This window comes from Homo sapiens, chromosome 1 (genome assembly GCF_000001405.40).
Source record: "Homo sapiens chromosome 1, GRCh38.p14 Primary Assembly".
Lineage (NCBI taxonomy): Eukaryota > Metazoa > Chordata > Mammalia > Primates > Hominidae > Homo > Homo sapiens.
The window spans coordinates 19698610-19713800 of NC_000001.11; the positions used below are offsets into that span (position 1 = coordinate 19698610).

General features: G+C 47.6%; 1 protein-coding gene across 16 annotated transcripts in view; it reads right to left on the reverse strand.

Annotated features, from left to right (window-relative positions):
* TMCO4 (transmembrane and coiled-coil domains 4) overlaps positions 1-15191 on the reverse strand; it is a 117677-nt gene that overhangs the window by 16370 nt on the left and 86116 nt on the right. For all 16 annotated transcript variants that reach the window (NM_001349112.3, XM_011541185.4, XM_047416926.1 and 13 more), the window contains one exon: positions 2159-2276. In NM_001349112.3, coding sequence (NP_001336041.1) covers positions 2159-2276 — 118 coding nt within the window. The remainder of the gene's footprint in view (positions 1-2158; positions 2277-15191) is intronic.

The following is a 15191-nucleotide window of genomic DNA, read 5'->3' on the forward strand; positions in this document are numbered from 1 at the left end:
AAGGCCTTTGGAGGCCAAGAATCTGAACTCCTGGCTGATGCTTAATTTAACCAAAGAACTACAGTTGTTTTGATCTACACTCTCTCTCCCCTTCCCTCCTTCCCTTTCTTCTTCCTTCTCTTTCTCCTTTCTCTCCATAAAGAGATGGCCCAGGGTCTCACAAAATAATTGAAAACCAAGTTATGTACCTCAGGTTCTCAACAGAACAGATGGGTTTAATAAGATTTTGCTGTGTTCCCACTGCACACATGCAATTTTAATTCTTTCCCTTTGCTGTTTACAAAAAGTACCAAAAAATCATGTGCGGCGGGGTGCAGTGGCTCACGCCTGTAATCCCAGCACTTTGGGAGGCTGAGACGGGTGGATCACGAGGTCAGGAGATTGAGACCATCCTGGCTAACACGGTGAAACCCCATCTCTACTAAAAATACAATAAATTAGCCGGGCGTGGTGGCGTGTGCCTGTAGTCCCAGCTACTCGGGAGGCTGAGGCAGGAGAATGGCATGAACCTGGGGGGTGGAGCTTGCAGTGAGCTGAGATTGCAACACTGCACTCCAGCCTGGGTGACAATGTGAGACTCCGTTTCAAAAAAAAAAAAAGGCATGTGCTATGTGAGTATGCCAAGTAATAAACATTATAACTGTTATCATTTATTGGGCACCTACTAAGTGCCAGTTCTTCTGCTTCATAATGTCATTTAATCTTCCCAGAACCTCTGTACAGGAGGGACTATTATTCCTATTTTATAGGTGGGGACACTGAATTCAGGGAAGTTGTTTGTCTAAACCCATTCAAAAGGTAAATGGCAGAGGCAAGATTTTAACCTAGGACTGTCTTGCATCAAAGTCTTTGTCCATTCCTTATCTTTTTCATATACATATATATATATATATATATATATATATTGAGATGGAGTCTTGCTCGCTGCCACTCTCTCCCAGGCCCTCCAGCCAATGCTGATGTGCAAGCCCCAGGCTGAACAACTGCCACCTGGAGTACAGTGGTGCGATCTTAGCTCACTGCAACCTCCGCCTCCCAGGTTCAAGTGATTGTCCTGCCTCAGCCTCCCACCATGCTGCCTGGCCTACGTTTGGTGCTCACTGAATTTGCTGAATGAATATCCCAAGTGATTGACAATGATGAATGAAAAAAATGGTGACATCACCTGTCATTCACAAAGCATGTATGTACCATGCACACACATACACACATGTACACATGGACAATCATGTGCACGAGCATGTACATACATGCAAACACACACACGTTCAGCTCTGTAAATCCTTCAAGCATCATCACAACTCTGAGGGCAGTTGCTACCAGTATCCCTCTTTTACTGATGGAGAAACGAAGGTGGGCCTCAGAACCCAGGCCTGTGTGCTTCCAAATCAAGAGCCTTAAACACTGTTGCTCTGAAAACACGTTTGCTTCATCCAGAGGCTGGATGGATGGGGCTTCTACTCAGGCCAATCTTAGAGGGCTCAGTTTTGGGTTTAATCTTCCCTCCTGCCCCAAAGTCTGAGTCACAGCTTTGGCTGAAACCCCGCAGGTCCTCCTTCTCAAACCCCAAAGGGTTGCTTCCTTTCTAGCCCTGCAGCCGCCAGCCTTCACGGGCCCCCTCCTCTGGCTGGAGGGTCTGTCACCCTGTTTGGGTATAGGCTCCTGCACGCTGGCGGCCTCCTGTTCTAGCACCCTGCCCTGTCTCCAAGGCAGCACTCAGAAAGCTCAGCCTAGGCCCCTCCAGCCCCTCCCTCCACCACCAAAGACTAACACAGAAGCCTCTCAGACCTTGTTCAAACACCTCCCTGTGGCCCAATCTTTGTTTTTCAGTCTGTGTTCCACTCGCCCATGTCCCTTCCCCCAGCTCCAACCAGGCCAAGCCGCCCCAGCCTCTCCTGTCATCCTGCTGCTCTCAGGCCTGACACAGAAACATCTTCTCAGAATCCACCCTTCTGTCCATCATGCTACTGGAGGGCCGCTTCCCAGATCAGATCACCAGGCCTGGGCCTGCTCCTAACAGGGCCGGTGCCCGGCCGGTTCCTGGGATCTTCCAGGACAGGGATTAGGTCTCAAATATGTGTCCCCAACACAGAGCCTGGGCATACTAAGTGCTCCGTAAGCATTGTCACTTCCCCGCTGGCACGAGGTTTGGACAGACCTGCAGTAGCCGTTGATGATCCTCCCGGACACCACCTTCCGGAAAGGCTCCCAATGCTTGGCTTCTCCCTCCACAGGCGCACCCAGCAGGATGACGTCCTCGATGATTCCTTGGCAATCTGGCAAAAGACCCCAGAAAAGGCCGTCAGTGTCCCTGGCCACATTGGGTGCTGGGAGGGACTCCAACAGCAGTGGAGGAGATGAATGTCACACACATACACATGCACACACGTGAACGTGGACAATCATGTGCAAATGTGCATGTACACACATGCAAACACGCAAACATGCATGGATAGGCATGGAGGCTTCTACCTACTGAGTTCCAGAACCTGAATCAAGCCTCTTATATGTCTAATCTATTCCTTCAAAGGATCATTACACCATTTTATCTATTTTATTTTATTAATTATTTATTTTTTGAGGTGGAGTCTCACTCTGTTGCCCCGGCTGGAGTGCAGTGGCATGATCTCAGCTCACTGCAACCTCCGCCTCCTGGGTTCAAGCGATTCTCCTGTCTCAGTCTCCCAAGTAGCTGGGATTACAGACACGTGCCACCATGCCCGGCTAATTTTTTGTATTTTTAGTAGAGATGGGGTTTTACCATGTTGGCCAGTCTGGTCTCCAACTCCTGACCTCAGGTGATCCACCCGCCTTGGCCTCCCAAAGTACTGGGATTACAAGCGTGAGCCACCGCAGCCAGTCTCATTTTCCCCATTTTAGAGTTAAGGAAAACCAAAGATATCTGCAAGATCACATGGCTAATAAGTTCCAACACAGCCTGGGTTGGAACCCAGGTCTCTCTCCACCACCCACAAAGCTCACACCAGCCGTGGACTATGGATGGATGTCTTCCTTTAGAAGAGACTAACGGGCCCCGCATCATCTTGCATGCCAGGTGGGAGACACCAATATCTTCCTCTGCAAAAGGTTCCCTGGGACCTGTGCAGACTGGTGGGAAGTGGGGGGTGAAGAGGAGAGGGGGCGAGTAGGTCCTGGGGTCAGGGAGTGCACTCGTCCGCTGCATCGATCTAATGATTTAGGAAATATTTCAGGTCAGGGCTATTCAAAGTGCAGTCTGGGCTGGGGGCGGTGGTTCACCTAGTGTTGGTAATCTCAGCATTTTGGGAAGCCGAGGCATAAGGATCGCTTCAGCCCAGGAGTTCAAGACCAGCTTGGGCAACATAGTGAGACCCTTGTCTTTTATTTATTTATTTCTTTGAGACAGAGTCTCGCTCTGTAGCCCAGGCTGGAGTGCAGTGGCGCAATCTCGGCTCACTGCAAGCTCCGCCTCCTGGGTTCACACCATTCTCCTGCCTCAGTCTCCCAAGTAGCTGGGACTATAGGTGCCCGCCACCACACCCGGCTAATCTTTAGTATTTTTAGTAGAGACAGGGTTTCACTGTGTTAGCCAGGATGGTCCTGATCTCCTGACCTCGTGATCCGCCTGCCTCAGCCTCCCAAAGTGCTGGGATTACAGGCGTGAGCCACCGTGCCTGGCCGAGACTCTTGTCTTTACAAAAAAAAAAAAAAAAAAAGTCAGGGCCCGGCACAGTCGCTTATGCCTGTAATCCCAGCATTTTGGGAAGCCAAGGTGGGTGGATCACTGAAGGCCAGGATTTAGAGACTAGCCTTGCCAGCATGGCAAAATCCTGTCTCTACTAAAAATACAAAAATTAGCTGGGTGTGGTGGTGGCAAAAGCCTGTAATCCCAGCTATTTGGGAGGCTGAGGCGCGAAAATTGCTTGAGCCCGGAGGCAGAGGTTGCAGTGAGCTGAGAATGGGCCACTGCACTCCAGCCTGGGCCACAGATTGAGATTCTGTCTCAAAAAGAAAGAAAATTTAGCTGGGTGTGGTGGTGCACACCTATAGTCCCAGCTACAGCTACTTGGGAGGCTGAGGCAGGGAGATTGCTTGAGCCCAGGAGTTTGAGGCCACAGTGAGCTATGATCACACCACTGCACACCAGCCTGGGTGACAGAGGCAGACCTTGTCTCAAAACAAACAAGCAAACAAACACCAAAGTGCAATCCAATTGTTCTGTAAGTACAGAAATAGAGAAGCCAACATGTCTTTTAAAATCTTGCTGCAGATTGGAAACCAGTAGTTCCCAGATGGGCATGTGGACCAGGCTTGGAGAAACACTGCTCTGGACAAACAAGAGGTGCAAATGCACCCCTCCCTCAGCCTCTATCCAATCCTCTGCTTTATTTTTCTCCTTGTCACAGATTATTGTCTATCATCTGTCTCCTCCTCTAACATGGAGGTTCAATGAGGGCAGGCACTCCAGTGCCTTATTCACAGCAGTGTGGCAGGGCCCAGAACAGCACCGGTTACAGATTTGGTGCTCAATAAAGATTTGAATGAATGAATGAATCAGTAAATAAATGTCTGTCTCTATCAGGAAAACCAGTTTACAGGCTTTGACATCAGGTTCAAATCCCAGCTTAGCCACTTCCGAGCTATGTGACTTGAACCAAATCATGTAACTTCTCCAAGCCTAAAAGAGGATGATGATGCTGGCCTTATAGGGTCTTTATGAGGATTAAGTCACATGGGAAAAACCCCAGCATAGTGAATGCACAGTGGGAGTTCGTGCGCCCCACTGGCCTGTCTAGCCCCCTGCCTCCCCCTTGTGGCACTCTCTTCCTTTCCCTTCCCTTTTTCTTTCCCTTCCCTTCCCTTCCCTGCCTTCCTTCCTTCCCTCCTTCCTTCCTTCCCTCCTTCTCTCCTTTCTTTCCTTTCTCCCTCCCTCCTTCTTTTCTTTTCTTTCTTTTTCTTTTCTTCCTCTTTTTTTTTTTTTGACAGAGTCTCACTCTCACCCAGGCTAGAGTGCAGTGGTGCAATCTTGGCTCACTGCAAATTCCACCCCCCAGGTTCAAGCGATCCTCCTGCCTCAGCCTCCCAAGTAGCTGGGACTACAGGCATGCACCACCATGCCTGGCTAATTTTTGTATTTTTAGTAGAGATGGGGTTTCACCACGTTGGCCAGGCTGGTCTCAAACTCCCGACCTCAGGTGATCCATCTGCCTCGGCCTCCCAAAGTGCTGGGATTACAGGCATGAACCACCACGCCCGTCCAGCTCTTTCTTATGGTCTGAGTTCCCTCACACACCAGGAAGCCGCACACTCAGTTCCTTGCTGGGAAATGTTCCCGGCTGGGACAGCTTCAACCAGTTCTGCTACTCTTTTGCTGAGCGACACAGGACAGACAGACACAGACAGAGACAGCTTCCTCTCTCTGGGCTCCAGTTTCTAACCAGAGTGCTTTCAGTGGTTTTCCTTTTGGGCTTCCATGTCAGAGTTTGTCTGAATACAGGGTTCCAGGCTGATAACAGTTTGAAAACCCTTGTAGTACCAAGCTCTCTGAGTTCCCCTCTGGCTCTGAGGTTAAAAGACTCCATAGCACAGAACTCTGATTTTGCTCCTTTTGTTTCCAGGACAATGACAATCTGGCAGAAGAATTTAAAACTTCAGTAAGCTGACAGTTTGTGGTGAATAGCAAGGATGGCTCAGATATCCCTCCAACATAAAGGCTACTTCAGGTGCTTTTGTTGTTGGCAAGGCTGTTGCTGAGAAGGCCCTTAGAGATCAACGCGATTTCCCTTGGAAGACGAGGAAACAGGGTCAGAGAGGGGATGGGGCTTGCCCAAGGTCACACAGCCAATGAGAATAAGCCTGGGAGCAGAACGCAGACTGCACGCAGAGCTGCTGGTCCCTGGGGCCTTTCTCTCTGCTGTCTGCAATAACAACGTGCACAGTGATCATATGCGGGTTATCGTTGCTCCTACAGTGCCAAATGGTTGTGGACCCAGGGATAACCATGAGCTCAGCAGCTTTCTCTGGGGGCCGGCCATTCAGGGCGCCTTCTCTGCCTGGCAGAGTCTGCCCTGCTAAGAGCTGGGACTGCTTTTCGAGCCTTGGTGCGGCTGCCTGCAGGGCTGGGACCCCTTGTGGCCAGCGGTGGTAATAGCAGCATTCCTGAGCCACAGTCAGGATCCACGGACAGCTGAGCTTCAGGAAAACCTAAAAAGGGAGCCGCCTGTGACCTTGAACTGAGACTCGTAGTTGAACCCCATAAAATAGTCCTGAGCACAGCCAAACCAAGCTGGCAACACATTTACCCATCTCTGAAGCTGGGCTGGCAGCTGCCTAGCTGGGACCCTCCCCCTTTCCTCCTTAGACCACTGCCATGCCCAGATGTACCCTTAGATTTTAAAGATTTGCTCTCTTTGTCGCTGCTGACCTGGAGATAAGCTACGTGGCAGGCTCTCAGCAATGCATGGTGTTAGCTAAGGGCGGTTGGCAAGAACCACCTTAGACCAGGGGTGTCCAATCTTTTGGCTTCCGTGGGCCACATTGGAAGAACTGACTTGAGCCACACATAAAATACACTAACACTAGGCGGGCACCGTGGCTCACACCTGTAATCCCAGCACTTTGGGAGGCTGAGGCGGATGGATCACCTGAGGTCAGGAGTTTGAGACCAGCCTGGCCAACATGGCAAAAACCTGTCTCTACTAAAAATACAAAAATTAGCCAGGCGTGGTGGTGGGTGCCTGTAGTCCCAGCTACTCGGAAGGCTGAGGTAGGGGAATCGCTTGAACCCAGGAGGCGGAGATTGCAGTGAGCTAAGATGGTACCACTGCACTCCAGCCTGGGCGACAGAGACAGACTCCATCTCAAAAATAAATAAATAAATAAATAAACAAATAAATAAAAATAAATTAACACAATAGTCGATGAGATAAAAAAATAAAAAAAAGAATTGCAAAAAAAAAAACAACTCATGTTTTAGGAACGTTACTAATTTGTGTTGAGCTGCATTCAAAGCCATCCTGGGTGGCATGTGGCCAGCAGGCCACTGGTTGGACAAGCTTGCCTTAGACCCACCCAAGGTAGATATGGATAGGCAGTCAGAGCCCATTACCACCTGACTGTTCCTAGAACGGGATGGTGTAGGAGGGGAAACCTATTTAGGTTAGGAAAAAGACGATACTGGCTGCTGTCATAGCTGCTGGAAAGGAAAAAAAAAAACAGTCAAAATCCACTGTTTGGTTCAAAACCTTATAATACTAGAATAATTCAGCCTTCCAGGTAAACTACGGAAAATCCTCACTCGGGTACCACTTTTTAATTTAATTTAAATTTTGAGACAGGGTCTCCCTCTGTTGCCCAGGCTGGAGTGCTGTGGCGCAATTGTGGCTCACTGCAGCCTCGACCTCACAGGCTCAAGTGATTCTCCTACCTCTGCCTCCCAAGTAGCTGGGACTACAGGTGTCTGTCATCATCACACCTGGCTGATTTGTTAAATTTTAGTAGAGATGAGGTCTTGCTATGTTGCCCAGGCTGGTCTCAAACTCCTGGACTCAGGTAATCCTCCCACCTTAGCCTCCTAAAGTGCTGGGATTTATAAGAGTGAGCCACCGCATCTGGCCCAGGTACCACTTGCAGTGTCAAGCAAGTCCCTTCCACAGGGACAGAAAATCCTTCAGATCATCATGTGGATTCAGTGTAGAATGCCCCCGGTTTTCAAGACCGACAAAAGAAACTGAGATTTAAACATTTCAATAATAATGGATATGAGAAGACCTCACTGCCCTTTCACTGCATGGACAATGAGTGTTTGCTGAAACATGTTTGGGATTTATTCCTACCGCTACCATCAGCTTTTCTTCTTGTAAATTTTCAAGACATTAGGAGAGCCCTATATAGCTTTAGAAATATTCAGACTTTTTATGTAAAAGAGGGCAGGGATTAACTTCAAGTTCAGGAGTCGAGTCATAGACATGTAGAGCGTTTATGCTTGCATTTCTCATTTTTAAACAGTTCTCGCTAAGTTATTAATATCCTATTTTTACTGTGAGAGCTGAAGGCCTTTCATCCTATTATAACTTTGGCATTAAGGCAGTTCCAAACCTGCAGTAGTTGGAAAAGCTTCATCAGTCATGTCTTTACCCCTCAGCTCTTAGAACTTATTGTCATTCACATGTGCCGTGAAAAAAAATGTTTCTTTCCAACACTTTCTTTGCCTCTACCTCTTATTGCTATTTTAAACACAGGAGCCCAGCTGATCACTTTACATTCTCAGTCATAGGCATGAGATGTCTTTTTAGATTGATGGAAATGTTCTAAAATTGGATTTGGTGATGATTGCACAGCTCTATATATGTCCTAAAAATCATTAAATTGTGCATTTAAAATGGGTGGGTCTTGTGGTACATAAATTATACTGCAGTGAAGTCAGATCATGTCACCTTTGTGCTTAAAAACCTCCCAGGGGACCCATCTCTCATGGAGTCAAAGTTAAAGTCATTGCAATGGCCTCGAAGCCCTGCCTGACCTTCCCTTCATTCTCTGTGCTCCAGCCACACTGGCCTTGCTGTTCCCTCTTTGAAATGGTTTGGACGTTTGTCCCCTCCAGATTTCATGCTGAAATGTGATGTGGGGCCTGGTGGGAGCTGTTTGGGTCATGGGGGTGGATCCTTCATAAATGGCTTGGTGCCCTTCTCTTGGTGATGGGTGAGATCTCAGTTTATTAGTTCATGAAAGATCTGATTACTTAGAGACTGGCAGCTGGGCACGGTGGCTCACACCTGTATTCCCAGTGCTTTGGGAGGCCAAGGTCGGTGGATTGCTTGAGGCCAGCAGTTTGAGACCAGTCTGGCCAACATGGCAAAACCCAGTCTCTACTAAAAACACAAAAATTATCCCGGGGTGGTGGCACATGCCTGTAATCCCAACTTCTTGGGAGGCTGAGGCAGGAGAATCACTTGAACCTGGGAGGAGGAGATTGCAGTGAGCAGAGATCGCACCACTGTACTCCAGCCTGGGCAACAAGAGTGAAACTCTATCTCAAAAAATATATAACCCCTTGAAGTCTGCCTGGGCACATGCCACATGCAGGTTTAGGTGCACGCCTAGCCTTCTCGGTTGTATTAGTCCATTTTCACACTGCTAGAAAGACCTACCTGAGACTGGGTAATTTATGAAGAAGAGAGGTTTAATTGACTCACAGATCCACAGGCTTAACAGGAAGCATGACTGGGAGGCCTCAGGAAACTTACAATCATGGCGGAAGGTGAAGGGGAAGCAAGCTTGTCTTCCCATGGTGGAGCAGGAGAGAGAGTGAAGGGGAAGTGTGACACACCTTTAAGCAACCAGATCTCGTGAGAACTCACTATCATGAGAACAGCATGGGGAAATCTGTCACTATAATCCAATCACCAATCGCCTCCCACCAGGCCTCTCCTTCAACACAGCGGGATTACAACGCCACATGAGATTTGGGTGGGGACACAGAGCCAAACCATATCACTTGTATAAGGGTAAACAATTCTACTCTGGGGGTTTGGGACAGCCTAGTTTTGTTAGAGGCTATTGTAGGGAAGCCTACGATGGTACTGTCACATGCTGAACCATTCTGAATGCTTCCAGACAGCATCCTCAGAAGAGGAAACAGAAAGTTCAAAGGTCAAAGACCCCCAGAATTTAGATAATTTCTGTTTCTATCTTGTGAATTGCTCTTGTCATGTTTTCAGCAGCTCACACTGGACTCCTGAGACGGTGCTTTACCACTTGGTACCCCTAAAAGTCTGGAAATTATCTTAGCTTTTTAAAAAAAAAATACATAAATAAAAAAAAAAAAACCCAAGAGCTGAGAATGGACAGCGTCATCACAGCAGCAAACTTCAGCTCACACTAGAGCCTTGATCTCAAAAACTGTGTTTAAATTAAGTTTTTTGTGAAACTAAACATTCTTAAAATGCACAAAGCGGGGCCAGCCCTTCCAAAGGGCCCCACAGAGAACACTTTCGGACAGTGTGGGGCCTTTGCCAGCGGGAATCAGGTGAAGGTCCCAGCTTCACCTTTGTCATTTCCCCCTTTCCACACAGTGAGCTTCCTTAAAGTGAGGCAAACCCTCACAGAGCTTTCTGTTATCCCAGGGCCTGCTCCTTTAGCTGCCACTCAGAAATCTCATCAAACAGCTGGGAAGGCAGCACCTCTCACTCCCACATGCCTGTCACGCTGTCAGTAAAGAGATTCTGCTGGGCTGCAAAGACCAAAGAATCACAAGTTCAAGAAGCAAAAAAGAAGGATTTTCTCCCTCCTGGTGGGGGTTCATGTGTGCAGCGAGTGATAAGGTAGAAACCAAGGAGGAATTTATTTCCTGACTGCGGGTCCAGTAAAAAGACCTTGAAGGAAACACTATGAACTGCACTAACACAAATGAAATCCATTCCAAAGATACACACGTGCACATGATAGACACGTAGAGAGAGGCCACAGAAGGGAGGGGGGACCAAGAAAGGAGAAAGGGCGGCTTTGACTGTACCCCCAAGCCCCGCAGTGGAATGAGGTTCACACTGGAAAGAATCGCTTAAAGGAGCCTGTTTGGACATATACCAGGATTTGGGATGAATTCTTTAAGGGAATGACTAAACCTTCATCTCTCCTCTTTGATTCCCATCTCTTTTATTTGGTCATGCAAAGTGATAAGGCTATTACTAACATCCCGGCGGGGGGGGGGGACCCTAAAAATTAATCTGCACTGCCTGACCTCCCCTCCTTCTCCCCTCCCCCCACCCCAGGGGGACTAAAGCTGGGTTTGTCTGAGAATAAAGCAACTGGTGGATACAATCCATGGAAGGGAAATAAATCACATCAAATGTAATGTCTGCTGTCTGCTATCATGGAGATGAAAGAGCCAGCTGACCGAGTGACAGTCTCTTCTGCATTTCAGCTGATATCTAGTGACAGCCCAGACATAATTTTCAGCCAAGTAAGAATTTGGGGACTCAAGGGTCAGGATGTTTAAATGTATCTTTGTGAGCACATTGACAAACTCTTTGGCTTTGGTTTTATCTTGCAAACATCATGGGCAATAATGTTGGCCTAACTTCACAGGGGCAGGGAATGAAACCGGAGATTGTGCTGCAAGGCTTTTTTGTTTCTGTTTGTTTTTTTTTTGTATAAAAACAAACAAACAAAAAAAGCTCTGGAATTCTATTTTTTTTTCTTTTCTTTCTTTTTTTTTTTTAGACAGAATCTCGCTCTTGTTGCCCAGGCTGGAGTGCAATGGCGTGGTCTCAGTACACTGCAACCTCCACCTCCTGGGTTCACGTGATTCTCCTGCCTCAGCCTCCCGAGTAGCTGGGATTACAGCCACCATGCCCAGTTAATTTTGTATTTTTAGTACAGATGGGGTTTCTCCATGTTGGTCAGGCTGGTCTTGAATTCTCGACCTCAGGTGTTCTGCCCGCTTCAGCCTCCCAAAGTGCTAGGATTACAGGTGTGAGCCACCGTGCCCAGCCTGGAATTCTATTTTTTAAAAATTTATTTTATTTTTTATATTTTGAGACCAGGTCTTGCTCTGTTGCCCAGGATGGAGTGCAAGTGGTGTGATCATAGCTCACTGCAGCCTCAACCTCCCAGGCTCAAGCCACCCTCCTGCCTCAGCGTCCCAAGTAACTGGGACTACAGGTGTGTGTTACCATGCCCCCATTTTTTTTTTTTTTGGATTTTTAGTAGAGATGGGATCTCACTATGTTGCCCAGGTGGGTATCGAACTCCTGAGCTCAAGCAATCTTCCTGCCTCAGCCTCCCAAAGTGCTGGGATTCCATCGCACCTGGCTGGAATTCCATTTCTTAATCCTCGTCCTCCTCTTCCTCTTCTTTATCATCATCATCTCAGTTTATTTCAGGGTAGGCTCAGGACTAAGTGCTTCATACATCAATTAATTTCCTTTACTCTTCACAACAATCCTAGGAGGTAAGCATGACCACTTCCATTTAACGATGGGAAGCCTAGCCTCCGACACGCCAAGTAATTTGTCCAAGATCACACAGTAAGTAAGTGGCATGGTGGAATTTGGTTATTCTTATATTTTCCCTCCTACTCTCCTGTCCCACTTCCCTTTGCAATCAAATAAAACCTTGAACCAAAATACATGTCTTCTGACACCTGACATCTTTCAAAATTGTGTATGAAAGCCAGAACACACACACCTGTGAAGGTGAACATTTCAGATTTTGTTGATTCAAGGGACAACTAGCAGGCTAGAATTTCCTAAAAGATTAATATCCCGATGTATAGACCCGGCCAAGAGCATGTGGCCTTTTGCTTTGGTAATCTCTAGCACATGTGCCAAAGTGGAGGTGGGTGAACAGATACTGCTATGAAAAAGAACAGGGGCCATGTGAAACACGACACACTTTCTAGTCTTTGATGGAGAGTTAGGCAATTGGCCCACATCCTGCTACGGGAACTCAATTTTCCCATCAGAAAGATGAGTTTGAGTTAACAATAGAACTTTGAGAAATATAGCTGCTGGTAAGCTGCAGGCGGTGAGCCAGTAGAGAACAAGAAGTTTCATTCTACGTGTACCACACATGCCTCATTTTATTGCATTTTGCTTTACTGCACTTCACAGATATTACGTGTCTTACAAATTGAAGGTTTGTGGCAGCCCTGCTTCAACTAAGTCTGTTGGTGCTATTTTCCCACACTCTGAGATCACTGGAGCAGCACTTTTAATTTCCTACAAGAAGCTTTCCTTTGCATTCACAATTTGGCTGTTTGATGCAAGACGCCTGGCTTTTGGTTTGTCTCACTTTCAACATGCCTTTCTTACTCAGCTTAATCATTTCTAGCTTTTGATTTAAAGTGAGAAATGTGTGATGTTTCCTTTCACTTGAACACTTAGAGGTCATTGTAGGGAGATTTATTTGCTTGTTTTTCAGACAGGGTCTCGCTCTGTCACCCAGGCTGGAGTGCAATGGCGCAATCACGGCTCACTGCAGCCTCGACTTCCCAGGCTCAAGTGATTCTCCCACCTCAGCCTCCTGAGAAGCTGGGATTACAGACACACACCACCATGCTGGGCTAATTTTTTGCTTTTTTTTTTTGAGACAGAGTTTTGCTCTTGTTGCCCAGGCTGGATTGCAATGGCGTGATCTCAGCTCACTGCAACCTTCACCTCCTGGTTTCAAGTGATTCTCCTGCCTCAGCCTCCTGAGTAGCTGGGATTACAGGCATGCGCCACCATGCCTGGCTAATTTTGTATTTTTAGTAGAGATGGGGTTTCTCCATGTTGGTCAGGCTGGTCTCGAACTTCCGACCTCAGGTGATCCACCCACCTTGGCCTCCAAAAGTCCTGGGATTACAGGCATGAGCCATGGTGCCCGGTAAAGTTTTTGCTAGTTTTTTTGGTAGAGACAGGGTTTCGCCATGTGGCCCAGGCTGGTCTCACACTCCTTGGCTCAAGCAATCCTCCCACCTCTGCATCCCAAAGCGCTGGGATTACAGGCATGAGCCACTGGGCCCAGCTATCCATCATGTAGGGCTATTAATTGGCCTAATTTCAATACTGTTGTGTCTCAGGGAATAGGAAGGCTGGAGGAGAGGGAGAGAGGTGGGGAACAGCCAGCTGGTGGAGCATCGGAACACACACAACATTTACTAAGTTCACCGTCTTATATGGACAATGTTTGTGGTGCCCCAAAACAATTACAATAGTAACATCAAACATCACTGATCACCATAACAGATACAATAATAATGAAAAGGCTTGGCTGGGTGCAGTGGCTCTCACCTGTAATCCCAGCACTTTGGGAGGCTGAGGCAGGTGGATCATGAGGTCAGGAGTTCGAGACCAGCCTGGCCAACATGGTGAAACCCTGTCTCTACTAAAAATACAAAAAATTAGCCAGGCGTGGTGGCAGGTGCCTGTAATCCCAGCTACTCGGGAGGCTGAGGCAGGAGAATCGCTTGAACCTGAGATGCAGAGGTTGCAGTGAGCTGAGACCATGCCACTGCACTCCAGCCTGGGCAACAGAGCGAGACTCCGTCTCAAAAAAAAAAAAAAAGAAAAAAGAAAAGGCTTGAAATATTGTGAGAATTACCAAATGTGTCACAGAGGCTTAAGGTGAGCACATGTACTAGTGAAAAGGTTTGAAATATTGCAAGAATTATCAAAATGTGACACAGGGACATAGAAGGCCATATGTCTTCTATCAGTTAGCTATTGGCGTGTGACAAACCATCCCAGAACTCAGTGGCTTAAAATAATCAGTGATTATTTCCCATGAGCCTACAAATTGGCCGGGCAATTCTGCTAAAATCATCCAGGCATGGCTGATCCCACTGGGTGCACTCATGTGTCTGCAGCCAGCTGGCAGCTAGGCTGAGGCTGGGTGGGATGAGCCAGCTTTGCTCGGTGGGGTCTCTCATCCCCCCAGGAACTAACTTGGACCCATTCTTATGGTGAGGTTCTAGGAGAGAGTGGAATTCACGTGCAAGGCCTCCTGAGGCCTAGGTTTGAAAATGGCATGATGCGATTTCCTGTGCCTTCTATGGGCCAATGCAAGTCACAAGGCCAGCCCAGATTCAAGGGGTGGGGAAACAGACTACACTTCTTGATGGGAGGGGTTTCAAGGTCACATTGTAAAGTATGTGGATACAGGCAGGGGTGGGAATTATGGCCGTTTTTTGCCATCAGTCTACCACAGATGTACACAATATGTCTGAAACACTGCAACATACTGATGGCTCATGTGTAGTGGGCAACAGGTTAAATCCATTAAGACACTAGTTCAGGATGAATCTTTCTCCAAATTCTCACCCAGGAAGAAGGGGAAGGGGTGGGGGAAACACTGGGAATGATGGCAGGCTGTTGGCAAGTGGCTGGCTTTTGGGGATGTGGTTTTGGGAGTCCTGGGCTAAGGCAGGATCCACATAAAGAACTGGAGGAGTGAGCCCAGGTAGAATCCTTTAGGCAAGATCCAGGTGGGCATGGTGGTGTGCACCTGTGGTCCCAGCTACTCAGGAGGTTGAGGCAGGAGGATGGCTTGAGCCCAGGAGTTCAAGGCTGTAGTGAGCTATGGTTGTACCACTGCACTCCAGCCTGGATGACAGAGTAAGACCCTGTCTCTAAAAATATATCAACAACAACAACAACAACAACAAAAACAAAAAAAACATGCTCCTTGAAGCGCAGAGATTCATTCTGGAAAATTCTCAGCCAATAAATTAT